This window comes from Homo sapiens, chromosome 1, assembly GCF_000001405.40.
Source record: "Homo sapiens chromosome 1, GRCh38.p14 Primary Assembly".
In the NCBI taxonomy this organism is placed as follows: Eukaryota; Metazoa; Chordata; class Mammalia; order Primates; family Hominidae; genus Homo; species Homo sapiens.
In genome coordinates, this window is record NC_000001.11 from 179322949 (window position 1) to 179343096 (window position 20148).

Sequence of the window (20148 nt, forward strand, 5' to 3'; positions counted from 1 at the left end):
CCCTGTGTTGCTTCAAGGTTGCTAGGATTTGTCGAGAATCCTTACGTTTCTTATATGTCCCCTAGGATTCTAGTTTCATTTTCTTTTCTTTTCTTTCTTTTTTTTTTTTTTTTGCCTCTGAATTTGTACTAGCTTGGCAATAAGTTTTAAAAGGTTTTCGTTTTTTAATATTTTACCCAGCATCTTAGTGGTCTCAACTGTGGAATCTGTTCAGGGAATCTAATTTCCCATGCTGTCAGAATCAGATCTATAGCATTGCATAATTAACATCGTTGTAATTACTGTGTGTACATTTACTAGTTTTGTTCTTAGTATTTTCATGTATAAATTTCCTTCTAGTTATTTTGACCATGCTGTCGTGTTTTATGGTTGCACCACAGTTTACGCAGTTACCTTTGTATTTGTTTGTTTTCAACTTTATGATTTAGACAGTGCTACTAGGTAGCTGTATCCATCAACTTAAAAGTCATGTTTTTTTCTTCCCGTAGGTCGAATTGACATAAAACAGTTGATAGCAAAGAAGATAAAGTTGACAGCAGAGGCAGAGGCAAGTAACTCCCTCTTCTAGAAACAAAAATGTAGAGTTTTAGATAGAATTTTGTTTGGTAACATTTTTAATGCTAAATTGCTCAGATAATTATTTAAGCCATTCATCAGTTGCTGTTATCCTGTGGAACAAGAAAATAAGATCTGCTGACTTGTCATCCTGCGTAAGGATCCAGATTGCCTTTTTCTCTCCCATCTCATCTATCACTGGCATTTTCTGTCTCTTACCAGCAAATCTTGGTTTTAGTGACCCACGTTAACAGTTGATAGCGTTGAATGTCTGTATGAGTGCTTTGTGAAAGTATCTGTCATGATTCATAGTAAATAGCAGCTCTCCAATAAATGTTGAATCTGAATCTAGAAGTAGATTCCCTGTCAAGGAAGTAGAAATAACAACTCGAAAAAAAATCATGAAATCATTTCAAGTGGGGATAAATAGTTCTACAAACCAGAATTCTTCAGTACCCTCAGGAAATTGTGGAGGGCGAAGAACACTTTTTTAAAAAAACATTATAATCCAATACCTGGGTGTAAGTTGACTTAAAATCCAAAGCAAACTCCTGTTTTCCCAAGGAGAAGATCACTTCCAAAATTTGTTGGCCAGTTTGACTATATAAACATCCGGTGATGAAGATGAAGTAGCCCTGTTTTATTTATTTAGTTACATGCATGTATGTATGTACATATGCATTTATAGAATAATCTAGATTTAGAAATATTTTTGTAATCATATTTCATGAAATGTATGCCAGATTATTTATACTCACTTTGATGTCAATGTCTTTGTTATTATCAGACCTAGTTTTTCAGTTATCATCCAAGGCCAGGGGCATAGTATTTGTACTTTCATCTAATGTGTTGGAAATCAGTACTGTTTGAGTCCAAGGAGGATGCTGTCACAGAAAATTTATTAAAGAACATATTTGCTTAACATTAAGAGATCTACCCTGTCCTCCTTCCATCATCCTGTAGGCATATTTGTGATGACTGCAATGTAATTCCTTATGGTACTGCTTTATAAAGTGGTACTCAAAAGATGTATTTACTGCACTTGAAATTGTGGGTATAGACTCCTAGTTAATAGGGTGTTAAACTTTATTTTTCCTGATTCCATTAAGTTACCTTTGTAAGCCTCCAGCACTACAGTGATGAAGATCATTTCTGATGAATGTCTTTTCCAATTAGTGCTTTGTTTCTCCATCATAAGAGATTGTTTAAGGATTTGTTATGCAACTTTTTATCTGATGACTAACTTATAATTTTGGCTAAGAAAATAACAATATTTAACGTATAGACACATGCTAGTTTGTTTGTTTGTTTGTTTGTTTTTGAGACAGAGTCTCTGTCGCCCAGGCTAGAGTGCAGTGGCACGATCTCGGCTCACTGCAACCTCCGCCTCCTGGGTTCAAGGAATTCTCCTGCCTCAGCCTCCTGAGTAGCTGAGACTACAGGCACATGCCACCACGCCTGGCTAATTTTTTGTAATTTTTAGTAGACATGGGGTTTCACTGCATGCCAGGATGGTCTCAATCTCCTGACCTCGTGATCCTCCTGCCTTGGCCTCCCAAAGTGCTGGGATTACAGGCTGGGATTACCACACCCGGCTGGCACGTGCTAGTTTTAAACATCTATTCTTGCAAGTTTAGTGACTAATTTTTTTTTTTTTTTTTTTTGAGACAGAGTCTCGCTCTGTTGCCCAGGCTGGAGTGCAGTGGCGCGATCTCGGCTCACTGCAAGCTCCACCTCCCGGGTTCACACCATTCTCCTGCATCAGCCTCCCGAGTATTTGGGAGTACAGGTGCCCACCACCATGCCCGGCTAATTTTTTTTGTATTTTTTGGTAGAGACGGGGTTTCACCGTGTTAGCCAGGATGGTCTCAATCTCCTGACCTCGTGAGCTGCCCGCCTCGGCCTCCCAAAGTTCTGGGATTACAGGCGTGAGCTACCACGCTCGGCCTAAAATAAATTTTGTTTTTGTGGTTTACTAGAGTGTTTCTGACCCTTTTTATTTCTCTAGTCAGGCAGGATACCTACATTTTTGTTATTCCTTTTTCAATTCTTCTTTTGTCCTCTTTTGCTCCTCCTCTTCTTATCAAGAACACAAAAACATATTATGTTCTATTTGTGAGGGCAAGTTTCAAATAGGTGAAAAGTAAGTCTGTCTCTGCTATCATTCCTCTATTTAAAAACCTAAAGTGGGAGGAGAACCTTTCCCATACAGAATCACAAACCCAAAGGCGAAAGGGAGTTTGGGGTGGAAAGTAGAGGTTTTGGGGGAAAGGGGTAGAAAGTGGTGGCAGGATGAAGGGGGGATGTTCCAAGGATTTAAGTTAAAACTTTTTAAAGAATATTGTACTTGTCTGCTTTATATATTAATAAAATTATGAAATCTTTTAGCTTGGTCATTTAGGAGGATTAGAAGGAGAAAGTAATGAATGAAATAAGGGAAAAGCTGAAAGAATGGTGGACCCTGGTTTAGCTAGTATTAATATGTGTATTGTGCAGGTGACATAAGGGTTGCAGAGTTGTGCAAGACTTGTTCCCTGATGTTAAGGGAAGTATTGGCCTGAACAAAGGTAATGGTGTTAGAAAACTTACACCGTACATATTTTAGGGCACTTGATGGACATCTGTGTCTCTATTGGGGCACAATGGCAAGAAAAAGTTGAAAACTTGAGGCTAGATTATAAAGCATTTTTTCTCGACTTTTATGCCCTCCTTCATGTAGCTCTTTCTATCTGAAATTTCCTCTTTCTCCATTCACAAATCAAAATAATGTATATCCTTCAAATTCTAGGTCAAATCTTGCTGCTTCTACAGTTTTCTGAACATTGCAGTTGAAATGATGTCCTCGCTACTCTATATTCCTAACTACTTAGTTTATACCCCTACTATATACTCTATATGTATTAGACTGTGCATTGTTCTGAATGAGTCATCACATGCCATTTGGTGAACTTTAGGTGATTTGACTTAGAAGTTTTAAAATTGTCAATTATTTGCTGTCTAATGAGATTGAATATTTTACCATTGTTTATTAATTGTAATTTCTTTTCTTTTTTTTTTTTTTTTTTTTTTTTTGAGACAGAGTTTCACTGTGTCGCCCAGGCTGGAGTGCAGTAGCACGATCTCTGATCACTGCAACCTCTGCCTCCCGGGTTCAAGTGATTCTCCTGCCTAACCCTCCCCAGCAGCTGAGATTACAGGCATGTGCCACCATGCCCGGCTAATTTTTGTATTTTTAGTAGAGGTGGGGTTTCACCATGTTGGCCAGACTGGTCTTGGAACTCCTGGCCTCAAATGATCCACCCCACCTCGGCCTCCCAAAGTGCAGGGATTACAGGCATGAGCCACCGCACCCAGCCAATTGCAATGTTTCTGAACAAGATATAGTAGGACTACTGTTCTGATCTGAAAGTTCAGGATGGCATATAGAGTTTAGAGACAGTGAGAATAGACAGGGAGCTATTGTAATATTTTAGTATTCTAGACCGAGGAAACAGATGAGCCAGTAGGAGAAGGGAACTACATTTAGAAGTCCTCTTACAGGCTAAGCTTTTATACTAGGTGCTTTATATACACAATCTTACTTACTTACATCATCCCATTTATAAGAGATCTCTAATTGGTCACATTTTTTTAGTTGTTGCTTAGCCTTATTGGTTGACATTTACTAACATGGAAGGACTTGAGATGATAGGTATGTGAACATTGTTCAGAGCCATGAACTTGGCTTGTTTTTTCACATACTAATTCCTCTTGTGGGTTTTTACAAATAATTTTTTTTAAATGCAAGTTAGGAATCTTTCCGGTCATTTATAATTTGTGTCATGTTCCTCCCAGTCGTCACTTCATCTTTCCTTGATCTTTAAAGTGAGAGCATTGCACTAGTTGTCTCCAAGGTCCCTTTTAGCTCTAAAGGTTTACGTCATAATTGTGTAGCTGACGAAAACTTTTTCAGAATTCACTGCTTGTTATTGTATAGGTAGTAGATAAATCTCATCCGGCAGCTGTTTCAGCTCCACAGAGCTAGAGTTGTCAGGTAAAATACAGTACGTCCAGTCGAATTTGAATTTCTGATAAACAATGAATACTTTTTTAGTAATCATGCAATATTTGAGACAGACTAAAACGTTATTTATCTGAAATTTAAATTTAAATATAGTGTCCTATATTTTTTATTTGCCAAATTGGGCAACCAACAAAGAACTCTGTGAAAAGTTAGATGTGTAGATAGAGGAGCTCTTATTAAGTAAGGAAAAGTGTGAAGAAGTTCGTCAAGCATTGAGCAAACCTTTTAGTCTGAAGGGAAGAGGAGTGAGGGAAGTGATAACATGAGTGTGTTGAAATTAGTGGTTTGAACTGACTGAATCTCTTAAGGTCGCCTCGAGGTCTAACATGCTTGTTAAAAAAGGTTTTCAGTATGTATTTTTTATCTAATGCCAGTGGGGTCATACAAACTTGTGTAACTCTGAGTTATGACCTTTTGAAATCCTTAGAATTGTGTTGTAACAAGACTTAAAAGATCTTAGAACAGTCCAAGGGAGATTCATATGATTAAGTCCCAACCAACTTACATTAACAATTAAATTACCTTTGCTTTTGTTGTTGTTGTTTTTAACAGAAACAAGGTCTCACTATGTTGCCCAGGCTGGTCTCAAACTCCTCAGCTCAAGTAATAATCCTCCTGCCTTGGCCTCCCAAAGTGCTGGGATTACAGGAGGGATCCACCATCCCTGGCCTAGCTTTGCTTTAACATTATGTTAAGCTATTTCTTTTGGTTGCAAATAACAGAAGCCTACTTTGGTTTATTTAGGCATAAAAGAAAATATATTCAAATGATATTAATATATCTCACAGAATCTTAGGAGAAGATGAACATTCAAGCTCTGTAAAGAGTAAGGATTTTAGTAGGAAGAGTTTAGATACTTTAGATATTTCAATATAATAAAGTTCCCACTCACTTTCTTTCAAAGCTCAGAACCTCAGATTTATTATAAGACAGAGAATTGAATTTTGGCCGGAAGGACAAGGTCATATAGTACAGCCCTGGCCTGGACATTACATGCCTGTCCTTGGCTCTGAGAATAGTTTTCAGAGAAAAATGAATATGTTAAGAAGGGCAAAGGGAATGTCTTTACTAATTGGTATTTGTCAAACTTTTATTAATGTACACAACTTTATAGAGGGAATGTTAGGTCTCATGTGAATATTAAAAGGATGAAAAAAATTACTTTCTATTTCTCCTTCTTAAAAATACATTTTTGGGCCAGGCGCATTGGCTCATACCTGTAATCGCAGCACTTTGGGAGGCCAAGGTAGGCAGATCAGTTGAGTTCATGAATTCGAGACCAGCCTGGACAACATGGCAAAACCCTGTGTCTACAAAAAATACAAAAAATTTGCTGGGCATGATTGTGCGTGCCCGAGTAGTACTGCTACTCGGGAGGCTGAGGTGGGAAGATCATTTGAGCCCAGCAGGTGGAGGTTGCAATGAGCTGAGATGGCGCCACTGCACTCCAGCCTGGGTGATAGAGCCAGACTTTGTCTTCAAAAAAAAAAAAAAAAATTGTTGCAACATATTCTGTTTGCTTCTTATATAGCATTTCAAATATTGTTTTTTCACATCAGTACCTTATGCTATTGTCCAGCCATTAAATGATCAAACTGATGAGTAAGAGTCAGGATACAAAAATTAGCTGGGTGTGGTGACACATGCCTATAATCCTAGCTACTAGGGAGGCTGAGGCAGGAGAATCGCTTGAACCCAGGAGGCAGAGGTTGCAGTGAGCCGAGATCATGGCATTGCGCTCCAGCCTGGGAGACAAGAGTGAAACTCTGTCTCAAAAAAATAAATTAAAAAAAAGACTCAAGTGTCATGTCTGAAAATAAGAGTTTCTCACCATGTTTTTTCAGTCATTCAAGTAACGCCTTCTAAATAAGTTTTTGGTCCGGTCATGGTAGCTCACGCCTGTAATCCCAGCACTTTGAGAGGTTGAGGCTGGCGGATCACATGAGTTCGAGACCAGCCTGACCAACATGGTGAAACCCCATCTTTACTAAAAATACAACAAAAATTAGGCGGGTCTGGTGGTATACACCTGTAGTCCCAAGTACTCTGGAAGCAGGAGAATCATTTGAACCCAGGAGGTGGAGGTTGCAGTGAGCTGAGATCACACCACTGCACTCCAGCCTGGGTAACAGAGCAAGACTTCATCTCAAAAAAAAAAAAAAAGAAGTTTTTGGATAGTGTTTATCTATTGATTTATTGGCCGACTGCTGGAGAGACAAGTCTTAAGTATTTTCTGCCCAGAAATCCTGTGATTATTGTGTAAGTTAAGATTGGGTTTTGCTGTAATAGTGAACAAAATAATAGGGGCTTATACAAGATTAGTAATTTCTTTTTCTCATGTCAACAGTTCAGAGGTAGCAGGTCCATAGCTGATACTGGCTCCATGGTCCTTAAGGACCCTGGTTTGGTTCCTTCCAGTTCCCTGCCTCACCATTTGTAATTGCCCGTTGGGTTCTTCTTACCCTCTGCACAGACAAAACCAATGGACTGAGACAGTGGTAAAGCAGTAGAGAAGGAGTTTAATGCAAAGCTAGCCAAGTGGAAGGACAGGAGTTTATTATACACACCAGCTGCTGAGAACTCAGAGGCTAGGGTTTTTATGGTAAGTTGGCAGGCAGGGGACCTAGGGAGTGGATGCTGCTGATTAGTTGGGGTTGAAATCATAAGGGTGTGGAAGACAGTTCTCATGCGCAGAGTCAGCCTCTGGGTGGGGGTCACAGGACCAGTCATGGGTTTAGGGGGCAAGCTGGTCAGTCGCCAGAATTCAAAGATCAGAAAAACATCTCAGAAGACCAATCTTAGGTTCTATAATAGTGATGTTCTCCATAGGAGCGGTTGGGGAAGTCACAAATCTTGTGACTTTGGGTACAGTAAACTATTATAGAAAGGCAAGCTGTGCCTACGTTTTAGCAGAATTCAGGTCCCTCCCATAATCCTAATCTTGTGGCCTTTCTTTAGTCTTACAAAGGTGGTTTCAGTTCCCAACAAGGAAGGGGGTCAATTTTGGGGAGGGACTATTTACATCAAAGTTGAACTATGAATTTCTCCCAGAGTTAGATTGGCCTCTGCTCAGGAATGAGCAAGGATGGCCAGCCTGTGAGGCTAGAAGCATGATGGAGTCAGACATGGTAGACGTTTCTCACTGTCGTAGTCTTTGCAAAGGCAGTTTCACATTCATAGGCTGTGGTCCTCCTTATTGCCCACATGGCTCTAGTCATTTTGTCTGAGTTCCAAGTGGCCAAATTGAGGGAAGGAAAGGAGTGGGGGTAAGGAACAGGTATCTGTGTCTGTTAAGGAAATTTTCTGTGGACTTTGACAAATCATTTCCACCTGTATCTCATTGGCTACCTAGGTGCAAAGAGAGACTGGGAAACTTATTTACTCTAAGCAGTCATGTGCCCAGATAGAAATCAGGGATTCTAGTACTAAGAAAGGGGGTAGGCACTGATAGGGTTGACAAATAACAGTTTCTACTATGGCTGTCCATTTTTCTTTGCTGTCCCAATCTACTGGTCAAATTTCACCTTTTTGCTATGCAAGTGTGACTATACATTTTTCTGATATTTTCCTTTCTGCCTTTTCTCATTTAAATGCACGAGTGTAAGAATCTCTAGTCTATTTTGAATAATTTTGTGAAAGTCAGTTTATTGTGCTTTATGATTTCATCACTTACAAAAGGTAGACAGGTACCTGTCCTGTTGCCCTCGAATGTTTAGCAGTTCAATTTAATGAATGCCTGCTTGGTTTCTTTGTCTATCAGGTACTACATTAAGTGCTGGGATTTTAAAGAAGTTGTGTTTTCTGTTCTCATGCTAACTGAGAACACTATATGCAAAATGCATGAGCAAGGGGAACAGTGACTTAATTAGATACCTTAAAAATGTTCTTTGGCCAGGCACAGTGGCTCACGCCTGTAAACCCAGCACTTTGGGAGGCCAAGGCAGGCAGATCATTTGAGGCCAGGAGTTCGAGACCAGCCTGGGCAACACTGTGAAACCCCGTCTCTACTAAAAATACAAAATTATCAGTTAACAAAAAGATACATCGTTTAAAATCAGTTGGGTGGGGGGCAGACAGTGAGATGCCAAAGAGCATATACACTTGAATATATAGAATTTCAAGTAAGTGCAATGAAGGAAAAGAATGAGATTCAGTAAGAGAGAATAGAAAGAACTTTAGAGTGAATTATCAGGAGACCTTTCTGAGGAGTCAATTTAGTGTAAGTCCTAAGCACTGTATTACCTGTTCCATTGTGTTACTTGTTTTGCTCAGAAAGGTCAGGTTTCTGGTACCATGCCACCAAGATTAAAAGATTCTCTGTGCAAAGACAGGCAGCAAATCAGAGGAAGAAATAATTTTTAGACTAGCAATATATGACCTTGTGGAGTTAATGTTCTTTAAAACCATTTATGAAGAAATTGTGATCAAGGGACCTACTTTTTTTTTGAGACACTGAAAATATTATTATTTACTGATTGGTTTACTTTGTTTTTTTCTTTCAGCATACTTTAAGATTGTTTTATGTCTCTGTACCTTTGAAAGAGTTATTTACCCATAAATGACCCTGACCTTTTTTCATTGTAATACTCAGTCCAAAGTAATCTCTGCCTGGAAGCCTTTTTAGGTAGAAGAGTTATCTTTCTAAGATGCAAATCTGAACATGTTTACAAATCTTGTGCTTAAAATGTCATTGGCTTCCAGATGTCTTTAGGATAAAAAATTCTTAAAATGGCTTAAAGGTCCATGATCTAGTCCCTACTTGCTTTTCCAGCCTTATCTCTGATCATTATCATCTGTTCCTTTAACTATGTGTTCCAACCATAGGGTCTTTGTATTATGGTTGATCCCTATTCTTGGAATCTTAGAGGTTATCTAATTCAGCTGCTTATTTAATACAAAAGGTTTCCTTAAGCTCTAAAAATGTAGTTTACTAGATTACCTAAAAAAGCACCTTTTTTAGTTCCTAGTTAACTGCCTCCTCCCTTCTGCCGCTTCTCCCTTCCTTCCTTCTCTCCATCCATCTGTCATGGTGCTAGGGCTGTCAGAGTCCACTGGCTGCATGAAATTAATATCAGTAGATACGAGATTGAAAAGATAAGCAAATTAGAAAGACTATAACCTCAACATTATTTTCAGGTTACTGATACCAGACATTATTCAGATTTATTAGTGATCACATACTGAGTTCTAATTAACAAGTTTCATGTGATAGAAGTCAGAAGGCAGAAGTGGACTGTTTCTTGTACTATATTTCTTAATATTCCCTCTTACAAAGGGAGTAACAATAATAAGCAGTTACTCGTTATTGTCATCACTGCTAGGATCTGTGAAAGGAGGAGATTCAGGAAATGTAAGCGTCCACAGAGCAGAGTTCTTTCTTCCTTGTGCCCCAGTGGCAGCACCTTCTATCAACTTTAATTCCTCAGAGAAAGAGGAGAAGGGCATTAGGAAATGAACATTAGGCATGTAATTATAATGCCATGTAAAGGAATGTGGTAGGTTTAGTTACCTTTTAACAATAAAAGGACTAAATGATAGGATTTGCTTAAATTACAATTTTTATTGTACATTGTTTTATTGTTCCTCATAGGTTAGCTCAGACTGAGGGGGAGAGGTTGGAACAATGAATACCTGGAGAGTGACAACTGTGTCAGGTGCTATCCTGTGTGTTTTCAGTTCCAGACCGTTATCCATGTGTAATAGTTTCTATCCTGCCGAGCTTCATTTATAGAATCAAATTGAAAGGGAAAACACCTGTACAACCTGGCCAATCAGACAGCCTCACATATCTTTTTCTTCATAGTATCTTTTAACTAGGATATTCCTCTTCTAAAAAAAAAAAAACAAAGTCTTGGCTGGGCACAGTGGCTCACACCTGTAATCCCAGCACTTTGGGAGGCTGAGGTGGGCGGATCACTTGAGGCCAGGAGTTCAAGACCAGTCTGGCCAACATAGTGAGACCACATCTCTATTTAAAAAGGTAAAAGTTTCAGGCGGGGCACGGTGGCTCACGTCTGTAATCCCAGCACTTTGGGAGGCCGAGGCGGGCGAATCACCTGAGGTTCGAGACCAGCCTGACCACCATGGAGAAACCCCGTCTCTACTAAAAGTACAAAATGGGCTGGGTGTGGTGGTGCATACCTATAATCCTAGCTACTTGGGAGGCTAAGGCAAGAGAATTGCTTGAACCTGGGAGGTGGAGGTTGCGGTGAGCTAGTATCATGCCGTTGCCCTCTAGCCTGGGCAATAAGAGTGAAACTCCGTCTCAAAAAAAAAAAAAAAAGTTTCAAGGAAGAACTCATTTTTTGTCAAGTGGTGAAAGCAGCTAGCTGAATAATATTCAGGACTGTCAACCAAATGGGAGGTCAGAAGCTCACCCAGTCGGCTGCAACCATGGCGGAGCCAGAGGGGCTCAAGGGGCCTGTGCTATACCAAGGCTGCAGTTCCTTGCAATGCTCTAGATGACCCTGGGCAGTCTATTCTTGAGCCCCTTCATAGTCGCTGTGATTGTCAACTAAAGAAAAGCTTTTTAAGAATTAAAGTTATTGTATTTAGAAGTCTTATTGAGAACTGTAGACAGAGCCTGCTGCCTGGGAGTAGTCTTTTAGAGAGGTTTTGTTAGCCTTTTCTGGCACTGTATTTTAGTCTACTGTTTATGTATAGGTGGTGGGGGTTTCGCATATGTAAAATTATGTTACGTTTGTTTAGAAGTTAGAAGTTATATTAGAGTAGAATATGTTAAGGTTTGGTGTAAGAGTATATTTGGTTATAGATTATAGAAGTGTAATTACTAACTGTCATTTATAGGAAAAGGCAAGGTTATTATCTTCAAGGAATATAGTGACTTAGGCAAGATATGTGGGGGGAGTGTGTGTTTTATTTTGTCTTAAAAGTATTTGGAAAGCTGTGTATCATCATAGAGTCAAGAACTTTGTGAAATTGTGTTGGCAAGCAGAAATGAGTAAATATGGCTTTTTTTGTGGTTTGTTATTTTGTCTCGCATATGGATACCTAAACTACTCACATATGAATGTTACTTCAAGAAAAGAAAATACATGAATTGATCATATTAAAATAGTTACCTTATAAGTGACATTCTGTACCGTCTGAGGTGTCAGAGGTTGGGGTCATAGATGAGGGAGATTGTGAAAGAAATTTACAATACTGGGCCAGGTGCGGTGGCTTGTGCCTGTAATCCCAGCACTTTGGGAGGCTGAGGTGGGCGGATCACCTGAGGTTGGGAGTTGGAGACCAGCCTGACCAACATGGAGAAACCCTGTCTCTACGAAAAATACAAAATTAGCCAGGTGTGGTGGCGCATGCCTGTAATCCCAGCTACTCGGGAATCTGAGGCAGGAGAATCACTTGAACCCAGGAGGCGGAGGTTGCGGTGAGCCGAGATCGTGCCATTGCACTCCAGCCTAGGCAACAAGAGGAAAACTCCATCTCAAAAAAAAAAAAAAAAAAAAAAGAAAGAAAAAAGAGAACTTAGAATCATGGTAATTATAACGTGGGGATAAGGCACAGTGCCGCCTGCCTGTAATTCTAACATTTTGGGAAGCTGAGGCGGGAAGATTGCTTGAGCCCTAGAGTTCAGCTTGGGCAACATAGGGAGACCCTATCTCTACAAAAAATAAAATATTTGCCGGCAGTGGTGGCGCACACCTGTGATCCTAGCTACTTGGGAGGCTGAGGTATTTTGTTTTATGCTTACAAGGGGTATACATTTTAAAAGGGTATAAATCACTATGTTGCCTTTTAGGTAGCTGTTTCTGAAACTTCAAGTCAGATACAGGAATTGATTTTTTGCTTTTACTCCTGCGAACTCACTATGTCTTTCTTTTGATCCAGCTCTGTTTAAGGGAGCCCTTTAGAGAAATGCTAATGACTCACAAGCATGTATTAGTTCCCCATCTTTTTCTTTGTTTTAAAATTCTAGGAATTGAAGCCATTTTTTATGAAGGAAGTTGGCAGTCACTTTGATGATTTTGTGACCAATCTCATTGAAAAGTCAGCATCATTAGATAATGGTGGGTGCGCTCTCACAACCTTTTCTGTTCTTGAAGGAGAGAAAAACAACCATAGAGCGAAGTAAGTATGTGCTATTTTCTTTTAATGCAAACATCTACTCAGTATAGTTCAATGGTGAAAATGGACTGCGGCAAATATGCTTGAGTTCACACCCTGGTGTCACTTTCTATTGGCTGTGTGTTACATTGGGAAAGTTACTTAACCATTTGAAGGAGGATGGGGATTTCTTTGTCTTTACATATAAATTATAACATACATGCATACCTCTTTTAACACTAATGCCGGGCACAGTGGCTCACGCCTGTAATCCCAGCACTTTGGAAAGCTGAGGCAGGTGGAACACCTGAGGTCAGGAGTTCAAGATTAGCCTGGCCAACATGGTTATTTAACCATTTGTCTCTACTAAAAATACAAAATTTAGCCGGGCGTGGTGGCGGGCGTCTGTAATTGCTGCTACTCAGGAGGCTGAGGCATGAGGATCGCTTGAACCTAGGAGGCGGGGGTTGCAGTGAGCAGAGATCATGCCACTGCACTCCAGAGAGAGACTCTGTCTCCAAAAAAAAAAAAAAAGACTGACTAATAAGGTCAGGTGTGGTGGCTCATACCTGTAATCTCAGCACTTTGGGAGGGCGAGGCGGGTGGATCACTTGAGGTCAGTTGTTTGAGACCAGCCTGGCCAACAGGGTGAAACCCCATCTCTACCAAAAATACAACAATTAGCTGGACGTGGTCGTGCACGCCTGTCGTCCGCCTGTCGTCCCAGCTGCTCAGGAGACTGAGGCATGAGAATCGCTTGAACCTGGGAGGCAGAGGTTGTAGTGAGCCAAGATCATGCCACTGCACTCCAGCCTGGGCAACAGAGACCCTGTCTCCAAAAAAAAAAAAAAAAAAAAAAAATACTGACTAATAAAACAACATAGCCAACACTTGCTGAGTGCTCTACATGATGAATTCATTTAAACCAAACAGTGATCCTATGAGACAGATAACTGTAGCTATCCGCATGTTACAGATTAGGAAACTAAAGCACAGAGTACTTAATTAAATGTCCAAAATTACATAGCAGGGATTTGAACCTAGAGTCTAGCTCTAGAGTCCTTGCTCTTAATCATATAATGGCTGGGCATGGTGGCTCACGCCTGTAATCCCAGCACTTTGGGAGACCAAGGCAGGTGGATCACGAGGTCAGAAGTTCAAGACCAGCCTGGCCAAGATGGTGAAACCCCGTCTCTACTAAAAATACAAAAATTAGCCGGGTGCCATGGCAAGTGCCTATAATCCCAGCTACTCGGGAGGCTGAGGCAGGAGAATCACTCAAACCCGGGGGAAGGAGGTTGCAGTGAGCTGAGATCACGCCACTGCACTTCAGCCTGGGTGACAGAGTGAGACTGACTCAAAAAAAAAAAAAAATCATATCATTACGTGCCTCTCTATTTGCTATACAATTGTTGTAATAAAGTACAATGCGATTAGTATATACTTTTCTAATTGATGGTTCATCCAGAATAATCGAGTGAAGGCTATCAAAGGCTAATATGTGTTAACTTGCCATTCCATGCTCTTCTCAGTTTTATGCCCCTGTTTGGAGGCATAGACTGATGTTCTGGAGAATAGTTTTGACCAATTATAGTTAAGTGCTGGTAGTAGTACGAAAAGCCCTAAAGAAGATAAGCAAGATGTTAAAATGGGAGTTTTTAGTAACTTGCAGCAACCTTTAAGATCAGGAGGCTGTTGGGAGTTGCTGGAAGTCCCTTGATATCAGGAAGGGTATGGTAAACATCAGTGCAGTTTCAGAGGACAGATCAGTAACAGTATATATGACCTGGAGTAGAGTGTGCTTAGAGGCCTGTTTATGACCTTAGGGGATCTCTACAAGAAGGAAAAGTGATTGCCAAAGTCCATAGGGGCTGAGTGTGGCGACCTTGCCATTCTCTACAAGAAGGAAAAGTGATTGCCAAAGTCCATAGGGGCTGGGTGTGGCGAGCTTTCCCTTCTTAAGAGTTGTGTATGTACCTGCCTCACAGAGAGGGTAAATGAAGTAACATACATAAAACTGTAACACAATATTTGGATCTGTTTTAGCTGGGCATGGTGGCGGGCATCTGTAATCCTAGTAGTGAAAAGGTCATTGGTCAATTAATGTTAGATGGTGTTATTGGTATATTCTCTTGTCTGTGGGATTAGATTTCTTATAATACTTGAAGTACTTATATCTTGTTTTAATTTTTCCTCTTCTCAGGGATTTGAGAGCACCTCCAGAACAAGGAAAGATTTTTATTGCAAGGCGCTCTCTCTTAGAGTGAGTATTTTTAGTTGTTTTTAAATATGTTTGATTTTTAAAAAACTATTCTGATAGAATCATTGCTTAGTATATGGACATGTAATGAGTTCTGTATCTGTATAAATCATTAGTGGGTTTTTTTCTTCTATGCTCTCTCTTGCTCCTTTCTGATCTTTTGGTTCTGTATCTAGTTTCAAAAGAGGAGTTAGGGATAAGAATGGTTATCTGGGCTTGGCACTGTGACTCACACCTGTAATCCTAGCACTTTGGGAGGCTGAGACAGGCAGATCGCTTGAGTCCAGGAGTTCAAGACCAGTTTGGGCAACACGGCAAGTCTCTCTCTACAAAAAATACAAAAAATTAGCCAGGCTTGGTGGTGCATGCCTGTAATCCCAGCTACTCAAGAGTCTGAGACAGGAGGATCGCTTGAGCCCGGAAGGGTGGAGGTTGCCATGGGCTGAGATTGTGCCCCTGCACTCCAGCCTGAGCACCAGGTGCAACACCCAGCAACTCCAGCCTGGGTGACAGAGCAAGGCTGTCTCAATAAAAAAAAGTGTACTTTTCTTTAAAAAGACATCTTATGCTTATCAAAAGTTACTTTCTGTGAGTCAAGTTGATGTTTACTACTTCCCCTAGATAAGAAGGCCGGTTTTCTAAGCATGTAATGTGCTGTTCAGTGTTTTCTAAGCATGTAATGTATAGTGTTAAGTGTTCTGTTACACTGTAGTTTGAAGGAATTAATCTTTTAAAGTTTACATCTGGGGGAAAACGCAGGCTTTTCACATAAAAGGGAAAAGAAAATTTATTTTAAACATTATAATTAGGATTTTAATGATAGAATTTATACATGAAAAATAAACAAAATTACATATTAAAAAAATTTTTAACCAAGGAAACAAAACATGTTTTCTATGGCTTAGATGAGTTTTTATTAGACTGTGAAGATCCTTGGTCCAGAGATTGAGTAGTAGTATATTAGATTACTCAAAATCATTTAAAAGATTAGCATTATCTTTCCAAAAACAAGTTAAAACAAGTTTAAAAACCTGTTTTAGTCAGATATAAAAGATTATTTAGGAAAAGTCATCTATATTATTGTTATATTCTAAAAGAAAATTAGACCAGTCTTAAATACAAAAGTCAATGAGAAGGTAAAATCTTTGTAAATGGTTGAGTTTTATAGACGTGTAGGGTAGTAATTGGTTATCATCATCATCATGATCAACATTATAGAAACTCATGTCAATTTTAACATTTTGGAAATAGGTAGTACTTAATATATATTAAATTTAGGGAGTAGAATATGAATAGGATTAAAAAATTCTTAACATTTGAAATAGTTTGTTTCCTGTTTTTAGTGACTGGCCTTTGTTTACTTAGAAAACATCCATTTCTGGTAGGTTTTAAAGAATGTAGACCATTCTTTTTTGAGATGTTTTTGGAGAGTGGATTAAGCATCTTCTCAACTGCTTTAAGTTAACTGCTTTAAGAAAAGATTTTATGGTGTTTTAAATTTAAATATACATTATTAACTTGTTTTGTTTGAACTACATTTACAGTGAACTGCTTGAAGTGGACCACATCAGAACAATATATCACATGTTTATTGCCCTCCTCATTCTCTTTATCCTCAGCACACTTGTAGTAGATTACATTGATGAAGGAAGGTAAGACAACAAAAAAGATGGCTGGCTAGTTGATGCATGAGAAGTTAGAGGTTTTCACTAAATTTTGGTAAAGGGTAAATTGATTAAATTGCTTCAGGAAATCCTAAAGCAGCAGATTTGAGGGTGATATTCCTTTGCCCTGAAAAGTTTAACTGATGGAGAAAATTAGAAGTTTCATTACTTTTATTTTTAAAATGGTTTATTTGAATAGACCATAATCAGTAATTTCTAGGTAATTTTCCCAAATGGGAGAACTTTATACACAGTTGACCTACGAACAGCACGGGTTTGAACTGTGCATGTCTATTTATACACAGAATTTTTTCAATCAATGTGTTTAGCACTCTGTATCCATGGGTTCTACATCTGCAAGCAAAGGCTGATTGGGATCTAGAGTATTCCAGGATGCAAAACACACATATAAGAATGGCAGATTTTTCATATCTGTGGGTTCCACGGGGCCAACTGTGGGCCTCGAATTTGCATAAGTTTTGGTGTCTGCACAGTTTCCTGGAACCAACCCCCCATGTATAGGGAGGGATAACTGTATATGACTTATTAACTTTTTGATTGTCTTTATTTAAGATGGTTACTTAAAACAAGTAGCTTATTGGAATTGAAGGTTGAAAAAGTTGATATTTCTTTTTAATGTGAAAGTCAAATTATAGGCCAGGCATGGTTGCTTGTGCCTGTAATCTCAGCACTTTGGGAGGCCGAGGCGGGAGGATCACTTGAGCTTAGGAGTTGGAGACCAGCCTGGGCAACATCTCTACAAAAAATTTAAAAATTAGCTGGGCGTGGTGGCAGACACTTGTAGTTCCAGCTACTCAGGAGGCTGAGATAGGAGGATCGCTTGAGCCAGGGAGGTTGAGGCTGCAGTGGAGCTGTGTTTGTGCCACTGCACTCCAGCCTGGATGCAAAGGAGACCAGATCTCAAAATAAAATTTTAAAACTCAAATTGTAGCTTAAAAAATGACAGCGTGGTAATCATGGATTGAATTATGTACTTTTTTTGAAAATTAAGTTTGGAGATAATGGTATAGTATATTAACATATTTTTAAATTGTACCTATTTCTTCTGAAAAATCATCTTTTGTACATAAGAACGATTGCTGTTTGAATATTTTCCATAGAATATTTTACAGTTAGAAAATTAATGTGAGAATCTAATCTTTCAGAAGTTCAAAGTCCAATTATCTTAGATATCTTAAGTTTGAAGACTGTATTTATCTTAGGGCTTTTAGAAAATTTGTTTCTAAAGAACATATATTGTTGATATATATATATATATATATATTGTAAAGCAGATGGTTAGAAGCAGATCTCTAACTAGCAGAACTATTACATCCATGACTTCAGCGTATTAACGTTGTGGTGTTTCCTAAGGTTGAAAGTTTGGTGTTTGAAACTTTTAAATTCTGTGAACTCAGTGTATATTAAAAATTCACCTCTATGTTCTTTTTCTGTACCTTTTCTCCCCAGGCTGGTGCTTGAGTTCAGCCTCCTGTCTTATGCTTTTGGCAAATTTCCTACCGTTGTTTGGACCTGGTGGATCATGTTCCTGTCTACATTTTCAGTTCCCTATTTTCTGTTTCAACATTGGGCCACTGGCTATAGCAAGAGTTCTCATCCGCTGATCCGTTCTCTCTTCCATGGCTTTCTTTTCATGATCTTCCAGATTGGAGTTCTAGGTTTTGGACCAACATATGTTGTGTTAGCATATACACTGCCACCAGCTTCCCGGTTCATCATTATATTCGAGCAGGTAAGGTTTTAAGTGTTACCCAAGGCGATGCTGTCCTCGGCTAAAATAATAATAATGATGATGACATACTGATACTATTATTTTTAGCTGTATTAACTTGGATAAATTTTCATATATTGTTCTTTTGCCATTATCTGTAAAATTGTTAAACTAGAATCATCTCACCTCTTAAGTTTCATTGTAGCTTCCATGTTCTCTGAATTTTGATAAATAAATTACGTTGAACTTTTTTTTTTTTTTTTGAGACAGAGTCTCGCTCTGTCACCTAGGCTGGAGTGCAGTGGCACCATCTCGGCTCACTGCAACCCCTGCCTCCCAGGTTCAAGTGATTCTTCTGCCTCAGCCTCCCAAGTGGCTGGGACTGCAGGCGCCTGCCACCACACCCGGCTAATTTTTGTATTTTTAGTAGAGATGGGGTTTCACCATATTGGCTAGACTGGTCTCAAACTCCTGACCTTACGATCCGCCTGCCTCGGCCTCCCAAAGTGCTGAGATTACAGGCGTAAGCCACCGCGCCCGGCCACATTGAATTATTTTTGATGCATCAAGATTTTGTTTCTGAATACTTTTTGTAAAAGTCATTTAAATTATAAAATATTTTCATAATTAAAAACTTCACTTTTGAAATGTCAGATTCATTGTTTTGTCATGTAACTATATAATAAAGGTTTTATTTTAATTTGTTTATACACTTATCAGGATTTTCTGACTTTACTGGCTATCTATAATGCATTTGACTAATGGAAAGGACACTTGCAGGAGACTTTCTTTGAAGAGACATCTTTTTCCTCCTGCTTTTGTAGATTCGTTTTGTAATGAAGGCCCACTCATTTGTCAGAGAGAACGTGCCTCGGGTACTAAATTCAGCTAAGGAGAAATCAAGTATGTAATTTCTTTTGTTCATTATTTCTTCCTCCCCTCCCCTCCTCTCCCCCCACCCCATTCCCTTCCCTTCCCTTCCCTTCTTTCCTTCTTTCCTTCCCTCCCTCCCTCTCTCTTTTTCTCTTTCTCTTTCTCTCTCTCTCTCTTTTTCTTTTCTTTTCTTTGTGTAATTTCATTAGTTTAAAGGATTATTGGCTGGATATTTCACCCTTTGTTGTTTTCTGGGATGTCACATTATATAATGTAGAGATTGTGTTTTATTTCAAATATATATTATCCATATTGATTTTGAGGACCACTTCATTGTTTCCTGACTATTCCGGCTTTGCCCTTGAACCTACAATTTTAAAAAATTGATTATCTTTTGCAACTTTGCATTATTTTTATGGAATGTTAATAGCCTCATTACACCTGTGCCTGCCTATTCTTTGCAAATTGTTGCTTCACACTCTAGAAGTTATCTCAGTCACAGGAATAACTTGGTTTAAAGAGATTGGTAATATTCAATTCGTGCAAGAATAAGAAGTCATTCCGGAGATCAGGAAAAAAGAACATGAGCTGATAAGTCATTTTATTCTTCCCTGTTCTGTGCTTCCTTATATTCCCCCCTGTATTTTTGCTGTGAAAAATCAAAGAGCCTTTGCTCTAACTATAGTTTTCCTTTTCTAGGCACTGTTCCAATACCTACAGTCAACCAGTATTTGTACTTCTTATTTGCTCCTACCCTTATCTACCGTGACAGCTATCCCAGGTAATGGTACTGTGAACCAGAAATGTGGTAAACACCAAAAGTGTGGCATGAGTGAGGTGGGATAGGTAAACAGGGGCCAGTTCATGTAGGGACATAGAAAATATAGAATGAGTTTTCATTTTCTGTCTGACCTGAGAAGCCTCAAATGGTGAG

The 20148-nt window shown here is 39.1% G+C and overlaps 1 protein-coding gene across 8 annotated transcripts in view; it reads left to right on the forward strand.

The window, feature by feature from the left end:
* The window catches only part of SOAT1 (sterol O-acyltransferase 1), a 64884-nt gene that overhangs the window by 29152 nt on the left and 15584 nt on the right, over window positions 1-20148 (forward strand). For 6 of the 8 annotated variants that reach the window (XM_011509911.2, NM_003101.6, NM_001252512.2 and 3 more), the window contains 7 exons: window positions 489-547; window positions 12558-12709; window positions 14889-14948; window positions 16490-16597; window positions 18080-18362; window positions 19166-19244; window positions 19914-19995. In XM_011509911.2, coding sequence (XP_011508213.1) covers window positions 489-547; window positions 12558-12709; window positions 14889-14948; window positions 16490-16597; window positions 18080-18362; window positions 19166-19244; window positions 19914-19995 — 823 coding nt within the window. Of the gene's footprint in view, window positions 1-488; window positions 548-12557; window positions 12710-14888; window positions 14949-16489; window positions 16598-18079; window positions 18363-19061; window positions 19245-19913; window positions 19996-20148 lie in introns of all 8 variants that reach the window. The other 2 variants (NR_045530.2, NM_001252511.2) reach the window with 2 other exon arrangements.